Source organism: Homo sapiens, chromosome 1 (assembly GCF_000001405.40).
Source record: "Homo sapiens chromosome 1, GRCh38.p14 Primary Assembly".
Taxonomy (NCBI): Eukaryota; Metazoa; Chordata; class Mammalia; order Primates; family Hominidae; genus Homo; species Homo sapiens.
Window position 1 is genome coordinate 183,305,445 of NC_000001.11, and position 23,504 is coordinate 183,328,948.

General features: G+C 45.5%; 1 protein-coding gene across 1 annotated transcript in view; it reads right to left on the reverse strand.

Annotated features, from left to right (window-relative positions):
• The window catches only part of NMNAT2 (nicotinamide nucleotide adenylyltransferase 2), a 170,144-nt gene that overhangs the window by 57,208 nt on the left and 89,432 nt on the right, over positions 1 to 23,504 (reverse strand). The gene's annotated exons all lie outside the window — the stretch shown is intronic.

Here is a 23,504-nt window from a genome sequence, read left to right on the forward strand (position 1 = left end):
ACACGTCTATTTTATTCTACACTTTTATTAACCTTTCTGAGTACAAGTTTACCATACACGCTTCTTAACATAGGGATAATTCGAGCTTGAAATAGACTTTATCCAGGAGATAGCTGTTTTTCCTGGGTAAAACAGGTGACAGAATATTCAGCATAGATTCCTTTTTGCGAAGGTGTGGCAGTGCTGAGGCTGCAGTGCGGGGATTTTTTGAAAGGTCAGTAGTTGCTTTTTCCCTAAAGAATGATATTGGAAAAACAGTTTCCTTTACAGCCTTTTTTTTTTTTTTTTTTTTAAAGAAAGAGTTTCTCTCTTGTTGCCCAGGCTGGAGTGCAGTGGCATGAACTCAGCTCACTGCAACCTCCACCTTCCAGGTTCAAGTGATTCTCCCGCCTTAGCCTTCCAAGTAGCTGGGATTACAGGCTTGCGCCACCATACCCGGCCAATTTTTTGTATTTTTAGTAGAGATGGGGTTTCACCATGTTGGCCAGGCTGTTCTCAAACTCCTGACCTCAGGTGGTCCACCTGCTTCGGCCTCCCAAAGTGCTGGGATTATAGGTGTGAGCCACCGCGCCCGGCCCTTTACAGCTTTCTTATTTGTGTTTATCTTCCCTCTCTACTTCCTCTAGTAAGAATATCTTCATGGAACAGAGTTCCCTTCTAGGGAACCAGCTGTCCAGGTTTGCAGGGGACTTTCTTGGTTTTAGCACTAAAAATCCCATGTCCTGGGAGACCTTAGTCCCCGACAAACTGTGTTGGTTGGTGCTGCAGGCTGAATAATGGCTTTCCAAAAATGTTCACAATCTAATTCCTGGCACCTGTGAATATGTTATCTTAACATGGTAAAAGGAATCCAGATAGCCCCTGGAAGCTAGAAAAGGCAAAAGAATGGATTTTTCCAGAAAGAATGTTTTCTTCCAGAAAACATTCTTTGATTTTCAAACTTCTATAAGATCATAAATTTGTATTGTTTTAAGCTAATACGTTTCCAGTAATTTATTACAGCAGCAATAGGAAGTGAATACAGTTGGTTACCCAGCCCCTCCCTCAACCAGGATGCCCAATGAACCACTGAACCACTCATGCACTGAACCAAAGAAGCTCAATTACTGCATTGAGTGGAGAAACAAAATCAGCTCATTGAAAACGTACCATGTGTGAGAATTTCAGGGACACAGAAAGACACAGTTTTAAATTAATTCCACTGTTATTTTGGACTTTTCTCTAAGAAACCTGAAAGTAAAGAAATGCACAATAACCTACACGTGCCCCAAAATAAAGCCTTTGTAATTCCTTAGGTTAAAATACTAACCTCCCCCTAGAGGCAACAGAGCATGTTTACAGGTTCAGATTTAAATCCTGCCCCAGGTGTCACCAGCTGGGTGACCTTGGGTACCCAGCTAGTTACTCAATTGCGCTGGCTGCCAACTCTCATCCCTAGGCTGGAGGTAATAATATTAATCTGGCTCACAGTGTTGTTAGATAAACAGTATAAGGAGTTTAGCACAGCACCGGCACTCAGGGACATTGGCCATATTTCTATTTCATGAGGAAGTGCAACCACTCCTTGGGGAGGAAAGTAGAGGGGGACAAAGAAAACTCAAAAACTCTTTGAAAAAAAAAATGTGCAGCTTGCCAATGTGGGAGTTATTAAATCTGAGAAGATTTTCTTTTGACCAGCAAAGATTGTCCCTGGCCCCAGTGAGATGTTTTTCTTGGTCTCGCTGCCCCTTTTGTCCTGCTTCCCTTAGAGAGAGCAGATGTTCCCTCTCCGGCTTAGAAAGTCATCTCTAGAGAGTGAGGGTCTGACTACAACCAGACCCTGGTATCTTCTCTCCTCTTTAAGTGAAACCAAACAAAGGGTTCTTTTTTTTTTTTTTTTGAGATGGAGTTTGGTTCTTGTTGCTCAGGCTGGAGTGCAATGGTGTGATCTCGGCTCACTGCAACCTCTGCCTCCTGGGTTCAAGTGATTCTCTTGCCTCAGCCTCCCTAGTAGCTGGAATGTATATTTTTTTTTTTAGACAGAGTTTTGCTTCTGTTGCCCAGGCTGGAGTGCAATGTCATGATCTTGGCTCACTGCAACCTCTGTCTCCTGGGTTCAAGTGATTCTCCTGCCTCAGCTTACCAAGTAGCTGGAATTACAGGCTCCCACCACCACACCTGGCTAATTTTTGTATTTTTAATAGAGACAGGGTTTCACCACATTGGCTAGGCTGGTCTTGAACTCCTGACCTCAGGTGATCTGCCCACCTCGGCCTCCCAAAGTGCTGAGATTACAGGCGTGAGTCATGCATTCAGCCTAAGTAAGTTTTGTATTTTTAGTGGAGTCGGGGTTTCAACATTTTGGCCAGTCTGGTCTCGAACTTCTGACTTCAGGTGATCTGCACGCCTCGTCCTCCCAGAGTGCTGGGATTACAAGCATGAGCTGCCGCACCTGGCCCAAACGAAGTATTCTGAGTAATGTAAGAGAAGCCAAGGTTGGGGAGGGCGCGTGCTGCATTTGGGCAGATTTCGACGGACTTTAGTGCTTCAGCTGAGGTGTGTTTGGATGATGGATGGGGGAGAGCTGCATGCAGGAACGTCAGGCTGGCCTACAGTTCTCCAGGTTATTGATTGAGCTCTGCTGGCATTGGGACAGAGGAAGTTTCTGCTGCGATGGATGACCCTCCTTGGAAAAGTTTCATTTGTCTTATGAGTCTCAGAGCTCATAGAGGATTTTGCTGCTTTTCCCTCAACTGACCCAGAGGTATGATCCCAGGGGACACCAACATGAAGCAATCTTAAAATGGCCTTTAGGATTCTGATGTGAAATAAGATACCACTGTGTATCACTTAAAGCAAATGTTTTTAAAATGACACTGATTAGTGCCCGTGAGGATGGGGAAGTGTACATTCTAACACGTGGTCCACGAGAGCATAAATTGATAAAGCCTTTTAGGAGGGCAATATGGCAGTCAGCATCTATCAAAATGATAGATGGGCATGACCTTGACCTGGCACTTCCACCTCCAGGAATCCATACTACAGAAAAAACTTGCACATGTGCACAGAGATGTATTCAAAAAGATAGTTCACTTCCGCATTATTCGTAAGAGTAAAAAATCAAGACTAAAAAAGGAAGCTGTTAAATGTTGGTACGTCCATTTGAAGGAATATTATACAGCCATTTAAAAGAATGAAGTAGATTTATCTAATCTGACATGGGAAGATCTCCAAGACACATCAGTAGGTGGGAAAAAAAATCAAATCACAGAACAATACCAAATAAAACTGTGAGTCTAAAGTAACTTCAGATAGTGATAATAAGAGTGGTGAAGAAAATAACAGGGAAAGAAGGTAGAGATTGGGTGCTGTGGGTTGCTAGGGAGATAAGCAAATGGCAAGCCATCAGCCATACGACAGTGAGGAGGAAAGTGCTGCAGAGAGAGGGAGGAGCTTTGTAGCCCCTGAGGTGGGAGAGCTGGTGGCATGGCTGCAGCGCTGGGAAAACAGGCTGACGTCAGAGGCTTGAAGGATCAGGTAGAAAAGGCCTGGAAAGCCCTGGGAACAAGTTTGAGATTTTATTCAAAGCCTTTGGAGGGTGTTTGTTTATTTTGAGACAGGGTCTCACTCTGTGCCCTGGCTGGAGTGCAGTGGTGCGATCACAGCTCACTGTAGCCTCAAACTCCTGGGCTCAGCCTCCCGAGTAGCAGGGACTATAGGTGCATGCCACCACACCAGGCCAATTTTTAAATTTTTTGTAGAGATAAGGTCTCAGTATATTGCCCAGGCTGGTCTCAAACTCCTGGCCTCAAATGATCTTCCCACCTTGGCCTCTCAAAGTGCTGGAATTATAGGCATGAGCCACTGTGCCCGGCCTTTGGAGGGTCTTAAGCAGCAGAGTGATCTGAGTTACATTTCAGAGATTGGCTGTTGGGCGGAAAATAAATTTAGTGGAGCAAGAGCGGAGCCAGTGAGATCAATTAGGAGCCGATTCCAGGAGTCTGAAATAAAACAGGCACAAATCCACTCATCTCTAGGCCTCATGTCACTCACTCTGAATTAGATACGATACTTGGCACGTTAATGTGTTTGATAACTATGATATTAGTTTTAAAAGTAAAAAGGCCTACAGTAAGTGGAGAGTAATATTATACTAGAATTGAATTTTGTTACAGCTCATTCATTACACAGATTGTTTTGTTATGATTGTATTCAACCTGGTCTAATCCCATCCTAAGAATATAGCAGTTTATTCAACAACCTGGTTTTATCTCATTGGTTTATGAAATGGATGGCAGCACTGTCCCCCCAAGCCCAAGAGTAGAAAGGAGACCCCAGGAATTACGAAAACCTGTACAAAATTCATAAGCAAGGATAAGGTCCCACAGCCTCATGCTCTTAAGTGGGTTATTCAAGTGCTTCTGCATACTTCTCTCGCTCATTTTGGTTTCGTTCATTTTTTAGCTAAAGGTGCAGTGCCCCCTGGAAGATCAGACTTTCTCTTTCTCACCCTAATTTAAGGCATTGCAAATATTTTATCCTGGGTGAACCTTTTCAGTACTTTCCTGAAAATATAGGGTGGACACCTGAAGAATCATGGAAATTCGCTTTGAGCAGTCCATAGCTTTGTTCTTGGAATGTAAAAGATGAATTTGGTGACCTTTACAGAGAGAGCAGTTTTAGTTAAAGAAGAAGGAGAAAGACTGCCTGGAATAGGTAAATCTGGAGAGTCAACCTGGGTGGGTCTCAGACGGACTCTCCCAAACATTCTTAAAATACTGAATTTCTAATTGTTCAAAGAACTTGGCCTGGTGATCTGAATCTTAGTATCTCTAGGCCAGCTTCCTGTACTGCCCTGATCCTGGGACCGCTTTCAAAAGCTCCTTGCATGAACAGCAAATGCAGAGTACAACATCATTCTAATGCTTTAGAACTAGCACCAGAGTAATATAGCAAACCCTGTCTTCCAGAATGCCTCTGATATAAAATCATAATTATTCCTCTTTCCTTCATGAGCCTGAGTTTGAGTCAAATGCATCCAGCCTGCTCTGGTCCCTCTCATGTCTCCAGTGATTTCCCAGGAAAACCAGGAAGACCCCTATTCCTAAAAAGGTTCTAGATCAATCATTTTCAACCAGGGTTGATCACCCCCCAGGGCACATTTGGCAATGTCTAGAGACATTTTTGGTTGTCACAATTGTAAGAAGAAAGTGCTACTGTCATTTAGTTGGCAGAAGCCAGGGGTTTTGCTTAACATCCTATAATGCACAGGACAGCCCCACAACAAAGAATCATCTGGTCCAGTTTGTCAACCGTGCCAGGGTTGAAAATCCTGTTCTACACATAAACAAGGCCTCTGTTTTAAAGGGAAACTAGAAACTCATAATGCCAACACAGGTGGAAGAATTATGGCCCCAAGGGAAGGAAAAAAAAAAAAAGCAGGGGCATTGGAATTTCACAGTCTGTTTTTCCACCCCTTTTAGCACAAGAGACTGTTATTGGAAAAAGTGACCAAGTCAAATAGCATATGACAAATCTCCCACATGACAAAGGGATTTCCCAGCTACCCACGCGGTCGTAAGAGATTAGTCCTAAGGTTCCCGCTCACCCTGTGAGGCTGCTTATGGAGATTTGCCCCTGCTTGAGTGAGGTGCCCTGGTCTAGAACCAGCTCCTGCCCAACTGTCTTCTTCCTTCACTATCCACTCCCTTCCCTTTGTTTTGACAAACCAAATTCCAGTCTAGGGTGTCAGGTACTGAAGCTTCAAAATTCACCCTGACCTGACAGAATTAATGGTTTCTGTGCCCAGTCATTAAGAGCACAGGATTTTGGAACAAGCAGAGTGAGCGATTTGGGGAATTCTTGGCCAAAGATCAAGAAAGCCTCTTTCTCCTTACAGGCCCTAATTAATTAACTGGTTCTTTATGAAAAACTGTGAGGGAATAATTCAGAAAAGAAGCAGTAAAAGGATTTTTCAGCAGTCTTTCATTTTCTAGATTCAAAACAGTATTAGGTAATAATTAGGTAAAGCTAATTGCACTGGTGTCTTGGCACTGGGAAGGTTATTTTCTCCTGAAAGTGAAAATGGTGGGGATGGACAAAGAGGCCTGTCCCCAGTCAAGCTCCCTGACAGGACCTGCCTACCACTTCTCAGGGGTCTGCTTTACAACCTGAATGATTAATGGCCACCATGAAATCTAGTTACTGATTTACTTTTCTCACACAGGATCCAAGAAGTGGGCTTCTCAGAACAGAGTTAAGAAAAGAGTTGTGCAGTTCACATCACACGTCCAGTCCCTACACACACACACACACACACACACACACACACACACACACACACGCCCTGGTGTTCTGCCCAGTGTAAACCATGTGACATGGCTTGGCTGTGTCCCCACTCAAATCTCATTTTGAATTCCCACATGTTGTGGGAGGGACTCGGTGGGAGGTAATTGAATCATGGGGGCAGGTCTTTCCCATGCTGTTCTCGTGATAGCAAGTAAGTCTCACCAGATCTGATGGTATTATAAGGGGGAGTTTCCCTGCACAAGCGCTCTTTTTGCCTGCTGCCCTCCATGTAAGATGCAACTTGCTCCTCTTTGCCTTCCAACCACAATTGTGAGGCCTCCCCAGCCACATGGAACTGTGAGTCCATTAAACCTCTTTCTTTTGCAAATTGCCCAGTCTCAGTTATGTCTTTACCGGCAGTGTGAAAACGGACTAATACACCATGACAGATTTAGAAATTTATAAGCATACTATGAAATAGAAGATAATAATTTTTTTGGTAGGCACATTAGTCACAGGTTTGGAATTTCTTTTTATTTTAAATAATTTAAGGCTTTTTTTTTTTTTTGAAATGAGGTCTCACTATGTTTCCCAGGCTGGTCCCAAATTCCTGGGCTCAAGCAATCCTCCTGCCTCAGCCTCCCAAGTAGGTGGGATTACAGTAGGCATGAGTCACCACACCTGGCAATTTCAGATTTTCCAACAAGCTGCAGGAATAGTACAAAGAACCCTCATATACCAATCTCCCAGATTCCCCATTTGTTAATATCTTACCACATTTGCTTTATTTGTTTTGCTCTCTGTATATTTATTTTATTACTTTTAAAACTATTTAATAGTAATTGCCTTACAGTTCCTAAAAAAAAAAAAGACATATTGGTGACAGTTTGTCAAGCTCATCTTTTTTCAGTTGAAGAAAGTATGAATGTTTGGCAAATGGCCTAGAAGTCTGGGCCTGCTAAATAGGATTTTCCAAGTATCCCTCAGGATATCTGGGTTCAAATCCTGACTCTACTTCTTTCCAGCAGTAAGATTTTGGATACCTTCCTAAGTCTCAATTTCTTCATCTGTAGGGTGGGATAATGACAGTATCCCTCTCAGGGGTTGCTGTGAGGATCAAATGAACTAAGTCCCTAAATAAGTCCATGCATGGACAGGTTCAACTGCATATGCCACCATGTTCAATAACAACATTGCTTCATTATTAGCTACTATTATCTCCTTTTCCTTTCTCATTTTCTTGTAATTATTCAAGGTTATTATTCTCAAGTATTTCCCCAACTGTGTCTTTTCCAATGAAGCCCAATTCCAGCTTTCACTCGTGGAGCTGTCATGGAACACTCAGTCTCTCTAATTTCTCTCTCCCACTGCCAGCCCCCAGCCCCCATCCCCTCCTCCCCCAACACGCACGCATCTATTCAATTTAACCGGAACAAATTCAGAAGCTTACAAGCATACTATAGGATACCAAAGAACAAAGAACCATTTCTTGTAAGGTTGTTAAAATACTTGTGATTTAAAGCAGGACAAACCTGAAGAATCCAGCATGCCTGAGATCACACATCTCTGAACAATAGGCTGTGATTTGAGTAATTACCCCTGAAGAGAGGGAGGTACCTGACTTCTGGGTATTTGGTCAACCAGCTGGACTTTCTTTCCTTAGGCATGGATAACTGGGTATTTGGTTAGCAAGGAAAAAAGAAAATTAATGTTTAATATAAACATAATATTCTTGGCACTTCCATTAGATGTTTAGAGATTTTCACTTTCAAGCATTTCTTTTTTTGAGATGGAGTCTCGCTCTTTTGCCCAGGCTGGAGTGCAGTGGTGCAATCTTGGCTCACTGCAACCTCCGCCTCCTGGGTTCAGGTGATTCTCATGCCTCTGCCTCAGTCCCTCTGGTAGCTGGGATTACAGGCGCATGCCACCATGCCTGGCTAATTTTTGTATTTTTAGTAGAGATGGGGTTTCACCATGTTGGCCAGGCTGGTCTCGAACTCTTGGCCTCAAGTGATCTGCCTGCCTTGGCCTCCCAATGTGCAGGGATTACAGGTGTGAGCCGCTGCGCCCAGCCAATGGGAAATATACCTTTTAAAATCCAACAACAACAGCACATATTAATCAATTACTAATTAGTACCAATGGGCAACCCTGCAGAGGAAGGCTGGAAGAAAGGTCTTGAAGCAGAAATCTCTGCTTCCAAGGGCCTCAGCTGCAGCTGGGATTTGTCTCTAGGGCCCTGATAGGTGTGTGGCCACTGAGAACAGGGTGGCTTTTGCTGAGCAACAGCTTTGAGCCACATGTTTATGAGACAGGCTCTGCCAACAGCAATTCCATATGAACAACAGAAGCAGTCTTCAGTGTCTGCCGTGTGGAACCTTGTGCCCATTTCTAGAGGTGCCTATTCACTCTCTTACATGCCTTCAAACTTTGTGCAACTATTTGCCTGTAGGATAAGATCCAAACTCCCAAACAGAGCAAATATAATGGGTTCTTTAAATCTGAGCCCTACAGCTCTCTCCTGAACCTGCTGCATGCCCTTTTCCCCCAGCAACATATGCCTTCACTCATGTGTTCCTTCTGTCTCAAATGCTCTTCCCTACCTTGGTAACCCCTGCCAACCCTTCAAAATCCAACTTGCCATGCCACCTTCCCTGACTTTCAGAGCTGGAATGATCTGTCCTTCCACAAGTCCATACATGCCACTGTAATAAGTTTGATCCCATTTTCTTGGGAGCAGCTCCAGGTCAGTCCTGTGCTTTATTCTTCTTTGCATCCCCAGCATCTTGTCCAGTGTCTGGCACCCAACTGATGCTCAGTTACTGTTTGTTGGGTTAAACTGGAAGGCATAACCAGGTCAGGGGCAGAGCAGCCTTGGCTATGGCATTTCTCTGTTTCTAGCTCCTCCTTATCAACTAGACATTTGACAATACTCAACAAGCACTCATGGTGTGCACAGCCTTTTGCTGAACTACAGTGTATGCATATGTAAAAGTGCAGACACCTTAAAGATAATAATTCACTGGACATGGTGGCTCATACGTATAATCTCAGCTACTCAAGAAGCTGAGGCAGGAGCCTTCCTTGAGCCCAGGAGTTTGAAATTACAGTAAGCTATGATGGCACCACTGCACTCAGGCCTGGGCAACAAAGTGAGACTCCATCTTTAAAGACAAACCAACCAACAAACAAACAACAAGCAAACAAGCAAACAAACCTAAGAATTCCCAGCCTAAAGGTAAATTGCTCTCATACAAGTGTAGTAACTTATGGGGGAAAAAGTCGTACACTTTGTATATGCTAGTTTTGCGAAAGTACGTTTCTAACATCAGCTCATGCAGATTTCAAAAATCAAAAGTTTAACACCCCATCTTAATATTAAACCAATCAGATTTTTTCTCTTGTCATTCTGATCATTGGTCTATCTCAACAAAAATATGGGGAAAAAATAGAGGCAAATATTCACTTGGCCATCCGTCATGCTGTGATGGCTGTCGATAGCTGATTCTGAAATCACTCGGGGCAGACACACAGATAGGAATAAAATACTTTCACACATATTTTTAAAGGGTCAATTGATATCTCAGTTGTTTTAACAAAATAAAGAATAGCACTAAGTTCACCACTGACAAAGTATTTCCACATTGGTGAACACTCAAAAATGTATCACGCATGTCGGTAACATGTGCAATAACAAGTCTTGAATTCCTTCACAAGGTACAATACACAGAGGTCAAGTTGTGTGTGTGCGCTTGTGTGTGTGTGTGTGTGTAATTCAATCCAAATTAAAGACATCATATCCAAACTACTTTTAAAATATGAGTAGCTTTGGGAGGCCGAGGCGGGTGGATCAGGAAGTCAGGGGTTCAAGACCAGCCTGGCCAAGATGGTAAAACCCCGTCTCTACTAAAAATACAAAAATTAGCCGGGCATGGTCGTGGGCACCTATAATCCCAGCTACACAGGAGGCTGAGGCAGAGAATTGCTCGAACCTGGGAGGCCGAGGTTGCAGTGAGCCGAGGTCATGCCACTGCACTCCAGCCTGGGCAACAAAGCAGACTCCGTGTAAAAAAAAAAAAAAAAAGCAAAGAATGCCTAATGTAGATGACAGGTTGATGGGTGCAGCAAACCACCATGGCACGTGTATATCTATGTAATAAACCTGCACTTTCTGCACATGTACCACAGAACTTAAAGTAAAAAAATAAAAAAATAAAATGAGTAGCCCATGAACTAAAAAACCAACAAATTTAGAATAACAAAAGTCTTTAATTTTTGATTCTTAGAGCTTTTTCTCCTTAATTACTAAAAATCAAACACCCACCTTGGGAGAGGAGTCAGCCAGGACCTCTGTTCTTGGGCTGTTTCTGTCCATCCCTGACATCCTCTGCACATCAGGATGTTTGAGGCAGCGAGGCATGCTCTCCTTGGGAATGGAGGTGACATCACAGGCCCAGAGTCCCCACTGACCCTGAGTGCTCCAGTTCCCAGGGACTTCCTCCCTGGAATCTGGAATTCATTTTGGCACAGGTCATGGAGAGCCATGCGAACAATGAAGAGGGAAAGGGTGGCAGGGCTCAGTGTCTGTGTCACCCAGGGTCTGTTGCCCCCAACTCCTCCCTGACATAAATGGCTGCTCTGTGGGGTGGGGAGCTAAGAGGAGAGGGCTGGCCCCTCTGTCTCCTGCAGGCCCTCCAGCTTGAAAAGAGAGCAAAATCCATGCCCCCTCACCTCCCCATACACATTCTTTCTGACCCATTTTCTTTCATGTCTGTGGAGATCAGATGCTGAGTCAAACGGCAGCCCTGGATTTCTTCCTGGGCTGCTGCAGTACCAGCTGCAGAGCCAGGGCTCGCCAGCCCCCCACCAGGCACCTCGGTCCCCTGAGCTGTCCAGGCACGGGGGCCTGAGGGACTGGGCACTTTACTTCCCTCTGGAGGGCAGGCACTGTGTCTCATCCAGCTTGCTGCCTTCCTCAGCTCCTCCCCCACAGCCCTTACCAGGGCTCCTTCTATATTGTTGATACTCAGCAAACATTGATTCATTGGGTAAGTGAACGTAAGCAGAGCTTGCCATAGGGAATATTATTCACTAGGTAAAATGTGTTGGAAATAACCCTTTATCTGATTCCCCTTCTTTCCACTTATAGAAATTGAGGTGTTTTCCTCCGGTCCTGCATTTTGGGACTCTAAGTCAGCATCCTTGGCATGCCTGTGTTCCAGATCTCCATCCCCCATGCCCTCAGCTAGTTGTTACCTAGTAGTCAGACACTACTAATCACTAGACCTGTGCACATTTGATAAATGTTACCTGATCCACATACATTTTAATAAGAGCCCCCAATGTCTCTCCCCAGAAGAATGTCTCTAAAATGGGAATTCCAGTAACCTGTGTCAAAGTGGAGTAGACTCTTCTAAATGGGAACCGTCGGGTCATACCTCAAAAGTGGCAGCCTCAGAGTGGGGTGGGCCTGGCTGGTCAGCCGTTTTATCCCAGAAAGTAGGCTCAGTTTCATCCCCCCGTATTTCAGCCCACATCCTCCAGCATACCCTGAGCCTGACTGATGGATTTTTTCTTTTTCCTTTTTTGAGACAGGGTCTGTCACCCAGGCTGAAGTACAGTGGCTACCTCCTGGCTCAAGTGATCCTGCTGGGCTCAAGCGATCCTCTTGCCTCAGCCTCTCAAGTAGCTGGCATTCAGCCACCATGTTCAGCTAATTTAAAATATTTTTTGTGTGTGTGGAGATGAGGTCTCACCACCATGTTGCCCAGGCTGGTCTGGAACTGCTGGGCTCCAGCTATCCTCCTGCCTGAACCTCCCAAAGTGCTGGGATTATAGGCATGAGCCACCATGCCTGGCCTTGACCCATGGATTTCTATGTACTCTCTTACCCACTCCCTCATCACCTACAATCAAGTCACCTCTTGCCAGTCTTTGGAAGCCGAGAAGACTTTTAGAGTTGACTCTGTTTTCCTCTCATTTTACTGGCCAAGAAGTGAAGGCCCAGAGACTGCCTAAGATAACCCCAAGGGCTGGAAGTGGATTCATGAACCCCCACCCAAGTCTATTAACCCCAGGGCTTTTGACACTAGCAGAGGGAAAGGCTTCTACCCAGATTAATGACAGGGGCTATTCAAAGATTCTTGACCAGTGTCCAAAAGAAAAAAATATTTAAATTAGCATCCACTATGGGCTGGATTCTATGCTGAGCACTAGAGTCACAGGTGGTGCACCCACTGTGAGACACAAATACACAAACAGACAAACACAATACAGTGTTAAAGGAGCTGTAATAGCCAAAACGTCTGAGTGTCTATTATGTTCTGGGCACTGTTCTATAGCCTTCACAAACAGTTATTCTAAGGGCAGAGGTAAGCTCATGGCCCTATGGAAGCTCTGAGTTCCACTGACACAGTGGGAAATTGGGCTTCGACTCCCAGACATCCGGCCTAGGCTAGCGAAGTCTCTGCCTCACCTCCCCAGCAGGCCCTGGGACCCCAGTGACATGGCCTGAGCCCTGGATCCTAAGACCTCCTCTCACTTTTGTGTCACTGGGACTTCTGTGCCCCAGCCTGAAGTCCTCTTGCCTGTCTGCAGGCTACAGTCTGTTAGAGAAAAAGTCCAGGCCAGATGAGGAAATGGGGCTCTGTCTTTGGGATGGGAGGAGAGGGACTGCGGAGGTGATGGCCCACAGGTGGGGAGGAATGACTTGAGTTCTGTGCTCGGAAGTCAGGGCAGCTCTGCAAGATTTTTTCCTGGCCAGTTTTGGATTTCCAAAACCAGAGAGAGATTCATTGTGTTTGCCTTGAGAAAGGAAATCCCCCAAACAGGACGATGGGGGAGGAATTTCTGAGGGCAGAGAGTTTCTAGAACTGAGAAGGGAGGGTTTAGGGAGGCCAGGACAGAATCATTGCACAACCCTGCTCTCCCTGGGAAAAACCCTCAGTCCTTCCTGCCTTGAGCCAGAGGCCACGGGCTCCATCTGCTGAGAGCTTGTAGAGACACACATCAAACAAGTCCCAAACTGCTGACCTCTACTTCTACCTTTGCTGAACTCCCTAAAATCCGATACAGGAGCAGAGGTTTGGGGCCTGGGAGCCTGGGGCAGGAAAGAGCCAAGGGCAAAGAAGTACAAGCCAGCTATGGATTTTTAACATCATTATTTTGTTGTTATTATTTATTGAATCATCACATCAGCTCTATTGGAGGTGGTATCATTAAGCACAATTTATAGATGAGAAGTTAAGGACTTGCTTATAAGGGCAGAAATGGGAATCATATAGGGACTCAGAGCCCCTGCATTCTCCTCATTGCAATGCTACTGTCTTGTGGGGACACAGGCGTGTGCATGCCCCATACCCCCACATACACACTACCTACCACTGTGCTGCAGCAGAAGCTATGCTGAAGTAGAAGTCAAGATTGCTGAGCCCAGTCCTGACTCCACTGGAAACTGGCTGGGGGCTCAGTTGACTCACCCCAAAAAATCTGCTCCGGTTACTTCCATTCTGCCAACATCGAGCACCTACTGTGTACCCGTGCTGAGTGCCAGGAATACAAGAATTTAGAAAATGAAAGTCCTGCCCTGGAGGCATTTACACACCAGTCAGACTTATAAACACCAGAGAATGACTTATAAAAAGATCACTTCAGCACAGTGCCTACATTTCCAAGCAGTTGTAAAGTTTAAGTGAGATGATATATGCCACTGTTTAGAAAACCCAAGAACTGCCCCAATGTTCTCGAGGTTGAGCCAGCTCTCTCAGAGGCAGCAGGAGAGTCACAAGCAGGCTGGGACACTCTTGGTCATCCTTCCCTTCTCAGCAGCGCCTCTGGCCAAGGCCAGGCCTGCCTTCAGCTTCCACTTGCCATGGTGACAGTGCCATCCTTGGTTTCTTCCCTCCTTCCTTTCTTCCTTCTTTCCTTCTTCTCCTCTGCCTCTCTCTCTCTCTTCCCCTCTCTCTTTCTCTCTTCCTTTATTTTTTGGTTTCCACTATTCTATGTGTCCTCAGCAGGGAAACCGGCAGGATATTCCTCCTCCATCTGACAAGAGTCAGAAATTGGGGAACTTCCATAGCTGTGGGGTTGAGAGTGGGATGCAACTTAAGATGACCCTGGGAGGGAGTTTTCCATGATCTGCCGTGTCTTTGAGCATCTGCAGTTCCCATCCTCTCATTCCCGTTTTTCTGGACTTATCTCATTATGGTAGGAAAGTCATTTATTCACCACTATTAACAGCCTCTCCCCTTCTCTGCCCATGGCGGGGAATTCTGGGATAGCTGCTGTCTCTCTGGCTGAACTAGGGTAAAGGGAAAGGAGCGAACTGAGTGAAACCAGACAAGGTGAATTGATTTCCTCTAAAAATTAACTCTGAGTTCCTGATGAAGGAGAAATAAATAGATCCTGAGGATGAGATGAGAGGAGAAACAAGATGAGAATCTTCTGGGCTTAGAGAGAATTGTTAGGAATGAGGAGAGAGGTGATAGTATTTCAGAGGTAGTATATGTGAAATATACAGAGAAAGATAAAGTTTTTGAAGTGCTGCTCTAGTTTGAGTTGAACATCCTTTTGGTATTCTTTGAGAGATTTTGGCAGAGATTAAAATTTCTGGCCAGGCACGGTGGCTCACGCCTGTAATCCCAGCACTTTGGGAGGCCAAGGTGGGCAGATCGCCCTGAGGTCAGGAGTTCAAGACCAGCCTGGCCAACGTGGTGAAACCCCTGTCTCTACTAAAAATACAAAAAATGAGCCAGGTGTGGTGGCGGGTGCCTGTAATGCCAGCTACTCGGGAGGCTGAGGCAGGAGAATCGCTTAAACCCAGGAGGCAGAGGTTGTAGTGAGCCAAGATCAACTGCACTCCAGCCTGGGCGACAGAGCGAGACTCCATCTCAAGAATAAATAAAATTTCTTTGTGAATTACTTTTTGGATACCTGACAGTTGTTTCTCTGAGTACATCATGATGTTAGGACTGGGTCACGAGACAGCTATGTTTTACCTGGGTTACACCAACATTCACAGAAGTTGATCTAAAGTCATCTGTCCTAACCTCTTCATTTTACAGATAAAGAAACTAGGAGCCAAGCAGGTCACAGTTCTTTGTTTCTTTCCTTACCAAACAGTGGAACTGCCTCTGTCCTGCTGTTGCCAAAAGGGAAGTAGGGGAGATTGGTGAACAGAAGAGAAGAAAGAGAGAGAAGTCATCCCTTTTTATTTCTTTCACTGGCAAATTTGATTTCTCAGCCACTTTGGCAAGCAATTCTAGTCCTTTCTGTGTCTTTTTAAAGTTATGTGGCTTGGGGTAGATGGCCTCATATCTGAACCTTAGGTTTCTCCTCTATAAAATTGGTTTAATAAGAACAATACTGCAAGATTTAGGGGCAGTTGCAATTCGATTACAGAAGTGTAATTCCACCTACATGTGTGTGCTGAAGTGAAAAAGCCCATTCCTTCGTCCCACCAGACGGAATCCTTTAATTTCAACTCAATTTCATAAACGTCTTTCCCCACATACAAAAAGGATAAATTCCTCCCTTCTATTTTCCTTTACTCTTTCCTTTATTATGTTCATGAAGCCCAAACCATATACATAATAAAGGGCTAAGAGAGAAAGAAAAGCAGGACCAGAGGAAGCCTCAGAGGCTAGGGTAGGAAAGGAGTTTATTTAGATGAAAGAGAAAGAGGTTTGAGAATGGTAGTGCCAGAGCAGCTTTAGTCTGTAAGGTATTTGAATGGAAACAGAAATATTTGGCCAGGCGCGGTGGCTCACACCTGTAATCCCAGCACTTTGGGAGGCCGAGGCAGGTGGATCTACTTGAGGTCAGGAGTTCAAGACCAGCCTGGCCAACATAGTGAAACCCCATCTCTACTAAAAATACAAAAATTAGCTGGGTATGGTGGCATGTACCTGTAATCCCAGCTGCTCCAGAGGTTGAGGTAGGAGAATAGCTTGAACCTGGGAGGTAGAGATTGCAAGATTGTGCCACTGCACTTCAGCCTGGGCAACAGAGTGAGACTCCATCTCAAAAAAAAGAAAAAAAAAAGGAAGAAAAAGAAACAAATATGTTACTTAATGTTACTTGGACTAGATTTTTGGTTTTTGTTTTGTTTTGTTTTGTTTTTGTTTTGAGACAGGGTCTCGATTTGTCACCCAGGCTGGAGTGCAGTGGTGCGATCACAGCTCACTGCAGCCTCGACCTCCTGGGCTCAAGCGAACCTCCCACCTCAGCTTCCTGAATAACTGGAGCCACAGGCATGTTCCACCACATTTGGCTAATTTAAAATTTTTTTTTTTTTGTAGAGACAGGGTCTCACTTTGCTACTCAGGCTGGTTTGGAACACCTGGGCTCAAGTGATCCTCCAGCCTTGGCTTCCCAAAATGCTAGGATTATAGACATGAGCCACCGCACCCAGCCTGGGCTAGATATTTGGATGCCTTTAATAACCCTCACATTAAACACCGAATTCCTTTTAAATTATAAGTAAAGACTGAACAGACTTTCCTGAACGTGACACCCCTCTGAGTCTGAATTACATGGGTTTCTGGATTCACAAGGGTTGCAAATGTGAGAGATCATGTCATTTGACTGTGATTTCCTTTAAGGGAGAATACGTTCAGGTGTGTATGGTCCCAGGCTGTCAGACCTGGGTATGGGGGCCTCATGCTCTACTTCTTCATTACCTTGTACTGCACCTGCAGCCTTGAGGCTCAAAGGACAATTGAAACTTTAGGGCTAGGTACCTTCTTCTCATCTAGAACGATCCTCCTCCACCTGACCCATCCAGCTGGGCAGATTATTCCCCACTCCTACTCCTGCTCCTCCAAAGCTGGGCCTGTCCCAATTGCTATCCCCAGCTGAGAGCTCCCACAGATTACCAGACCAACAGTCTACAGACTGAGCAGCGGCAGCTCTCAGGGGATCAGTGATCCACTACCTGGGTCCCAATGGCCCCTCAATAAGCGATCTGGAGCCTAACCTCTTCCCCATACCCAAATCATAGGATGAAATTTTCAGGACCACACAGCAAAGCCTAAGGCCCTCCCAAACACTTGAGACTATTTAAGGTGCAGTCCCATGATTTAAAATACCATCTGTCTGCTGACATCTCCCAAATTTATACTACCTTGCAGACCTCTCCTCCAAGCCCTAATCTCAGAAATCTAATTATCTGCTTGACATCTCTACCTTGGCTGGCTCTCACAAACATCTCAATACACATAAAACTAGACTTTTTTTCTTTAGATGGAGTCTTGCTCTGTCATCCAGGCTGGAGTGCAGTGGCGCGATTTCGGCTCGCTGCAACCTCCGCCTCCCAGGTTCAAATGATTCTCCTGCCTCAGTCTCCTGAATAGCTGGGACTACAGGCATGAGCCACCATGCCAGGCTTATTTTTGTATTCTTAATGGAGAAGGGGTTTCGCCATGTTGGCCAGGCTGGTCTCGAACTCCTGACCTCAGGTGATCCACCCGCCTCAGTCTCCCAAAGTGCTGGGATTACAGGCGTGAGCCACCGCACCTGGCCACAAAACTAGATTCTTCATATTCATCCCTAAATCTGCACCACCACTTCCTCCCTCCCTGCAATGGTGACACCACCTAGAACCCAGCTGCTGAAGCCAGAAGCCAGGGAGTTATCCTTGCTTCCTCTTTCACCCTTCACCCTCATATCCCATTCATTGGCAGCCTCTGAAGTTGCTAGCTTTTTCATCTCCACTGCCACCACCATACTTCAAGTGACCCTATGTCTTGTTTGGGCAACCAAAGGGTAGAGCTTACAGAATGGATTGGAAAGTGAGCACATGTAAACACATGTGGAGCCTTCTGCCCTACCCTCATTACCATTGCATGGGATCAAAACAAAAAGATTTGGAAATCTGAGAATGCAAAGAAGTGGGCCCCACTACCCTCTGCAACTCTGGAAGGAGACAGAGATTCCAGCACCAGCAAGAGATGCTCCATTAGTATGGGTGAGCTGATTTAGGCAGGATGTGGATCTGAGATACTATCTTCCTTACAACCTTCCCCCCAGCTTGTCATCCTTGCTTCCTATGGCATAGGGAACACATCTGACAAAGGTAGTTGTAAAACCTCTCCCCCCACAGGAGACAGGAAAGAATATCTTAGGATTTGGCCTCTCTCCTACGAGATTTGGCCTAAGAGGCTAAGAGAGAGAAAGGCAGGAGAAGAAGCCTCAGAGGCTGGGGTGGAAGAGGAGTTTATTTAGGCAAATGAGGGAGTGAGGTTTAAGAATGAGCCAAAGTCAGGTAACAGCTGAAACTTGAGAGCTTCAGGGCCTGCTGGGGGATCACCATAAAGTGGGCAAGGGGACCCAGTGGTGAGTCAGGGTGGATGACTCAAACTGGAGACCTGAGAGGTGGCATAACTGAGATGAAGGCAGATATAGGAAGGGGAGATTCCTCAGTTCCACTAGAGAACAGATACCAAGGTGCATGAATGCAGCAGAAGATCAACATTGGTCAGATGCCCCTCCTGCAATGCCAGGAAGACACACAAGCCCCTTGGAATTTTGAGCACATCCGGACAGAAGGAAAAGGAAGGGAAGAATTCTGAAACTGCTGAGAGAGTATTCAAAAGAGACCGTGAGAACTGACGATGCTTCTTGCATTGACAAGGCGGAATGAGCTAAGCTGAATTTCATCATAGGAAAATAAATAAAATTAAATGTTTGCACACTGAACTGTTTGAAGTGGGAAATTTCCCACTTGTGACAAGTAAATCCTACCATACTATTTCCTTTACTTAAAATAAACTCCGAACTGCTTATCTTGACCCAGAAGGCCCTGCATGGTTTGGCCTCTACCATTTTCACCATCCTCAGTTCAAGCCTCTCTGCCAGAACCAACAGCGCAAACCACTCTGGCTTTCTTTGAGTTCCTCTGACACTCTGAGCCCTTTCTTGCTTTCACACTTGCTCTCCATCTCCCTTCCTCCTTTGTGATCCATCAAAAGGATGCCACCTCCTCTGGGAAGTCTTCTCAGATCACTTTCCAAGTGGTTTCCCTGTGCCGCCCTTTATCTCAGCACCTTACTGCCATCCTCTTAGCACTTCACACTGTACTTCTTCCCTCATCTTTGCTTGCTACCTGTCTCTTCCATTAGACTTAAACTCCCCGGGGGCAGGGACTTAGCCTTTCCTTCATCACCATTACATGCCTAGCTCCTGGCACTGTGTGTAGTAGGTGCTTGATCAATGTTTGTTGAATGAATGGATCTCTGGACTCCAAGGCCCTACCCAGCAGAATATCTAACACAGGGTGGATGTGGGTTCATGACAGTGACCAAGCACTCCCTTACAAAGCAGACCCCGAGGAACCAGAAGTCACACCAAATTGTGTCTCTGGGTAGAGAGTATGTGACTGGGGGCCCTGGCCCAGGGTTTCCCATTTTGCCAATATCCATCCTGATCTGCTGAAGTGGGAAGGAGGAAGTGAATTTAGCCCAGCCCCTGGATTCTCCAAGTCAAAAAGCTGAGGCCCAGTGAGATGATCAGAGTTAGTGGTAGGAGGGGACTCAGAATTTCAGCTTCCCAACTCCAACTCAGCAATCTTCCTTGCACATTTCACTCTCAATTCAATTTCTTCCTCTGCATAGAAAAGGAATTTTATTCCCTCTCCTTTAATTGAATGCAAACATGGCCAACTTGTTTAAGAACTAAAATTCATAAATACTCTGGAGAAATACATACATTTATCTGCATGAAAAGATGGAAAAATGAGAAGTGTCGTATTCTTTAAGTGACTCAGGACTATCTTTATGGTTTTCTTTAAGCTACTTTAATGTTGTAATGGCTTGACTGAGGAAAGCACTCCAGAAACCTCTAGAGAAAATGGCTCAGTAGACCCAACGTTTTACACCTGGGCTGGAGTGACTTTAAATAAAACTCCCTTTCACCTCATTTCATTTCCTCAGTGGAACATTTCACATGTAGCAAACAGATAAGTCTGTTTTTCCTGTTTTGTTTCTTAAATGTAATTTCAGAGTGCTTTCAGTATTGAAAGAGCCATAACCTTTTCTCCCCTCACACTCAAACAATAGTGAAATCATGTGTAATAAGGGTCAAACCTATTGCCCAGTACATAGTACAATTCGTTGCACATAGTAGGTGCTCAAAAAAGAAGTAAATATTTATGAAGCACCTATTCTATCCCGGGTACCCAGCCTAGGTGCTGATGTTTAGAGGTGGACCAAACAGACATGGTCCCTGCCATGTCCCTGCCACGAGTTTACAACCTGGGGAGGGAGACAAACAGCACACAAGTATTTAAGGATACACACAAACACACATATACATGTGAATCAAGAAAGGTGGTGTGAGAGTAATGAACAGAATGCAGTCATCAGGCACACACAAGACAGGGGAGCAGGCCAGGCACGGTGGCTCATGCCTGTACTTCCAACACTTTGGGAGGCCGAGCTGGGTGGATCACCTGAAGTCAGGAGTTCAAGACCAGCCTGGCCAACATGGAGAAACCCTGCCTGTACTAAAAATACAAAAATTAGCTGGGTATGGTGGTGCACACTTGTAATCCCAGCTACTTGGGAGGCTGAGGTGGGAGAATTGCTTGAACCCGGGAGGTGGAGGTTGTAGTGGGCTGAGATCACACCACTGCACTCCAGCCTGGGCAACAGAGTGAGACTCCATCTCAAAAAAAAAAAAAAAAAAAAAAAAAAGACAGGGGAAGAGAACTATTTAGATATGGTTGCAAGGGAAAATATGTTGTGAGGAAGAAATAATTTCATTTTGAGGCATGAATGAAGAGGAGGATCCAGGGGCAGACTTAGAAGCTTAGCTTTCCATATGGAGACAGCAGCATGTGCAAAGGCTCCAGGACAGGGAAAATTTGATGTGTTCTAGAACTTGAAGAATCTATATCACTAGAGTGGTCAATAGGCACCATATCATGTTGGGTGTGCTCTAAGGGAAAAAGAAGTCATTGGGGGATTTAAGAAAGAGAGTGACATGATCTTACTCATGAAAAGCACCCTGGGCTGTGAGGAGAATGGATTGAGAAGCTCGCAGAACAAGATTGCAATGGACAAGGTGAGACTCCATTAGAAAGATGGAAAGAAGAGGATGGATTTAAAATATACATTGGAGGAAGAATCACCAGGTGGGCTGAAACTTTGACTCTGAGGGTTAAAGAAGGGACTAGATAACCAGGTGGATGGAAGAGGACTGGGAGAGGACCAAGAAAAATTAATGAATAGGATTAATCTCCAGTCACACAACAGAGAGGGAAAGAGTGGACATAGCTATCCCCATTACCCTTTCTCAGCAGTATTCATAATTATATTTTATGTATGTATGTATGTATGTATGTATGTATGTATTTATTTTTGAGACAGAGCTCACTCTGTCACCCAGGCTGGAGTGAGGTGGTGCAATCTCGGCTCACTGCAACCTCCGCCTCCCAGGCTCAAGCAATTCTCCTGCCTCAGCCTCCCAAGTAACTGGGATTACAGGCATGTGCCACCATACTTGGCTAATTTTTGTATTTTTAGTAGAGACAGCTGGTCTCTACTAAATGTTGGCCAGGCTGGTCTCGAACTCCTGACCTCAAGTGATCCGCCTGCCTCGGCCTTCCAAAGTGCTGGGATTACAGGCATGAGCCACTGTGCCTGGCCCTAATTATACATTTTTTAAATAACAAAGTGGAGACAGACATTTAAGATAACTTCTCTCAGTTCACACAGCGAATTATGAAGATGTGTTGGCTCAAGCATCACCAATCCAGTACGCCAAAAGGGCCATATTTGCAGGCATTCCTTCTTGCTACCTCGACAGCTCATGTATACCAGTGCTTCTTACTGTTTGCCAGCAACTCTTCTCAAATTCAGACATCTGTACACTGCACAGACATCAGTATGTCCCAGAATCGTTTCCAACGGAGTGGTGGGTAGGGGTGAGTGGTTGAAGAAGAGCAGGGATGTTTATTCGCCAGCACTGAGTTCTCTGTACTCACAAACTAGGCAATTTCTCAGTGCCACAAGGACATTTCTGAGTCACTTGGACAGATCTCTTGGGAGTGATGCCTGGAGAATTAGAAATAAAAATAGTCTTCTTAGCTGCTGTTTTTTGTGTGTGTATGTGTGTTTTTCCCCTTTTGCCCTGGGAAGCTACTGCTTTCCCTCCCTGTCCTCGCTGGCCCTGTCTACTCCCTGGCTCCCCTGGGTTTCAGAGGAGCTGGCACTGAACACTGCTCTTTCTCACTTGACATCCTCTCTCCAACTTAGCAAGCAGGTCTTCTGCCAAATCTCCAGGTCGGTGGCTCATCAACGTCAGCTGCCCCCACAGCTTCTAGGGCAGGCGGAGAGGTTGTTCCCTCCAGGACTTGGGCCAGAGAGGGGAGAATAGGGGTCATGGGAGGGAACCATCACCTGGTCTCGGACCACACAGTATTGCAGCTGGACTCCAGCCACTCAAACACACTGAGTTGGCAGGTCCCTGAAAACTGAAAAGGGAGAGGGATCAGATGCCGCAGGCCAGGACCCTGGCTTCCTGGCTCCCTGGCTTCCTCCCCACCCATCTGCTCTACCCCCTCTCACCTCCAGAAGCCTTGGAGGGGCTATGATTGTTTTGGACAGTCTGAAGCTGAGATCAGCAAAATACGGACCCTCAGAGAGCATTTTGAAAAGAGCCTCTCTGGTGCTACATGTTAATAAGCCCTTCTAGGAGAATGCTCTTCTAGAATTTGCCATTTCTGCCTCCCTACCATTCCTCCTTGGGCAATGCCCTTGGGCAATGAAACCTCTGCTCTCTAGTCCTTTCTGAGGGAGATGGTGATCAGGACAAAGCCCTAGCCAGCCCCATGAGTCAGCATGGTCACTGCTGATCTGACCATCAGGCTTGGTGTCAGGAGCTAGCAATCCTCCTGGCTCTAGTTAGGTGACTTGTCTCTAGGAGCCCTGCCTACTGTCCTCCCAACCTCAACACCTAGTGCCATGGGAATGATGTTCTGCACCAACAAACCTTTGCCTCCTGTGAGGAAGATCTTGTGGAATGTCTGCCGCAATCTACAGAGTCTCCTAGCCTGACCTGTGGACTCACAGTAATAGTTGGTAGCCACCTTGTAAAATGTGACCCTACTTCCCATTCCAACATCAGTTGATTGGACTATAAAAGCCAATAGAAATCCTTCCCCCGGTATTTGGATTGCAGGAGAGAGAGACAGAGAAACATGGAGACAGAGAGATTTGGTCCTTCTGTGGGGCTGTGGT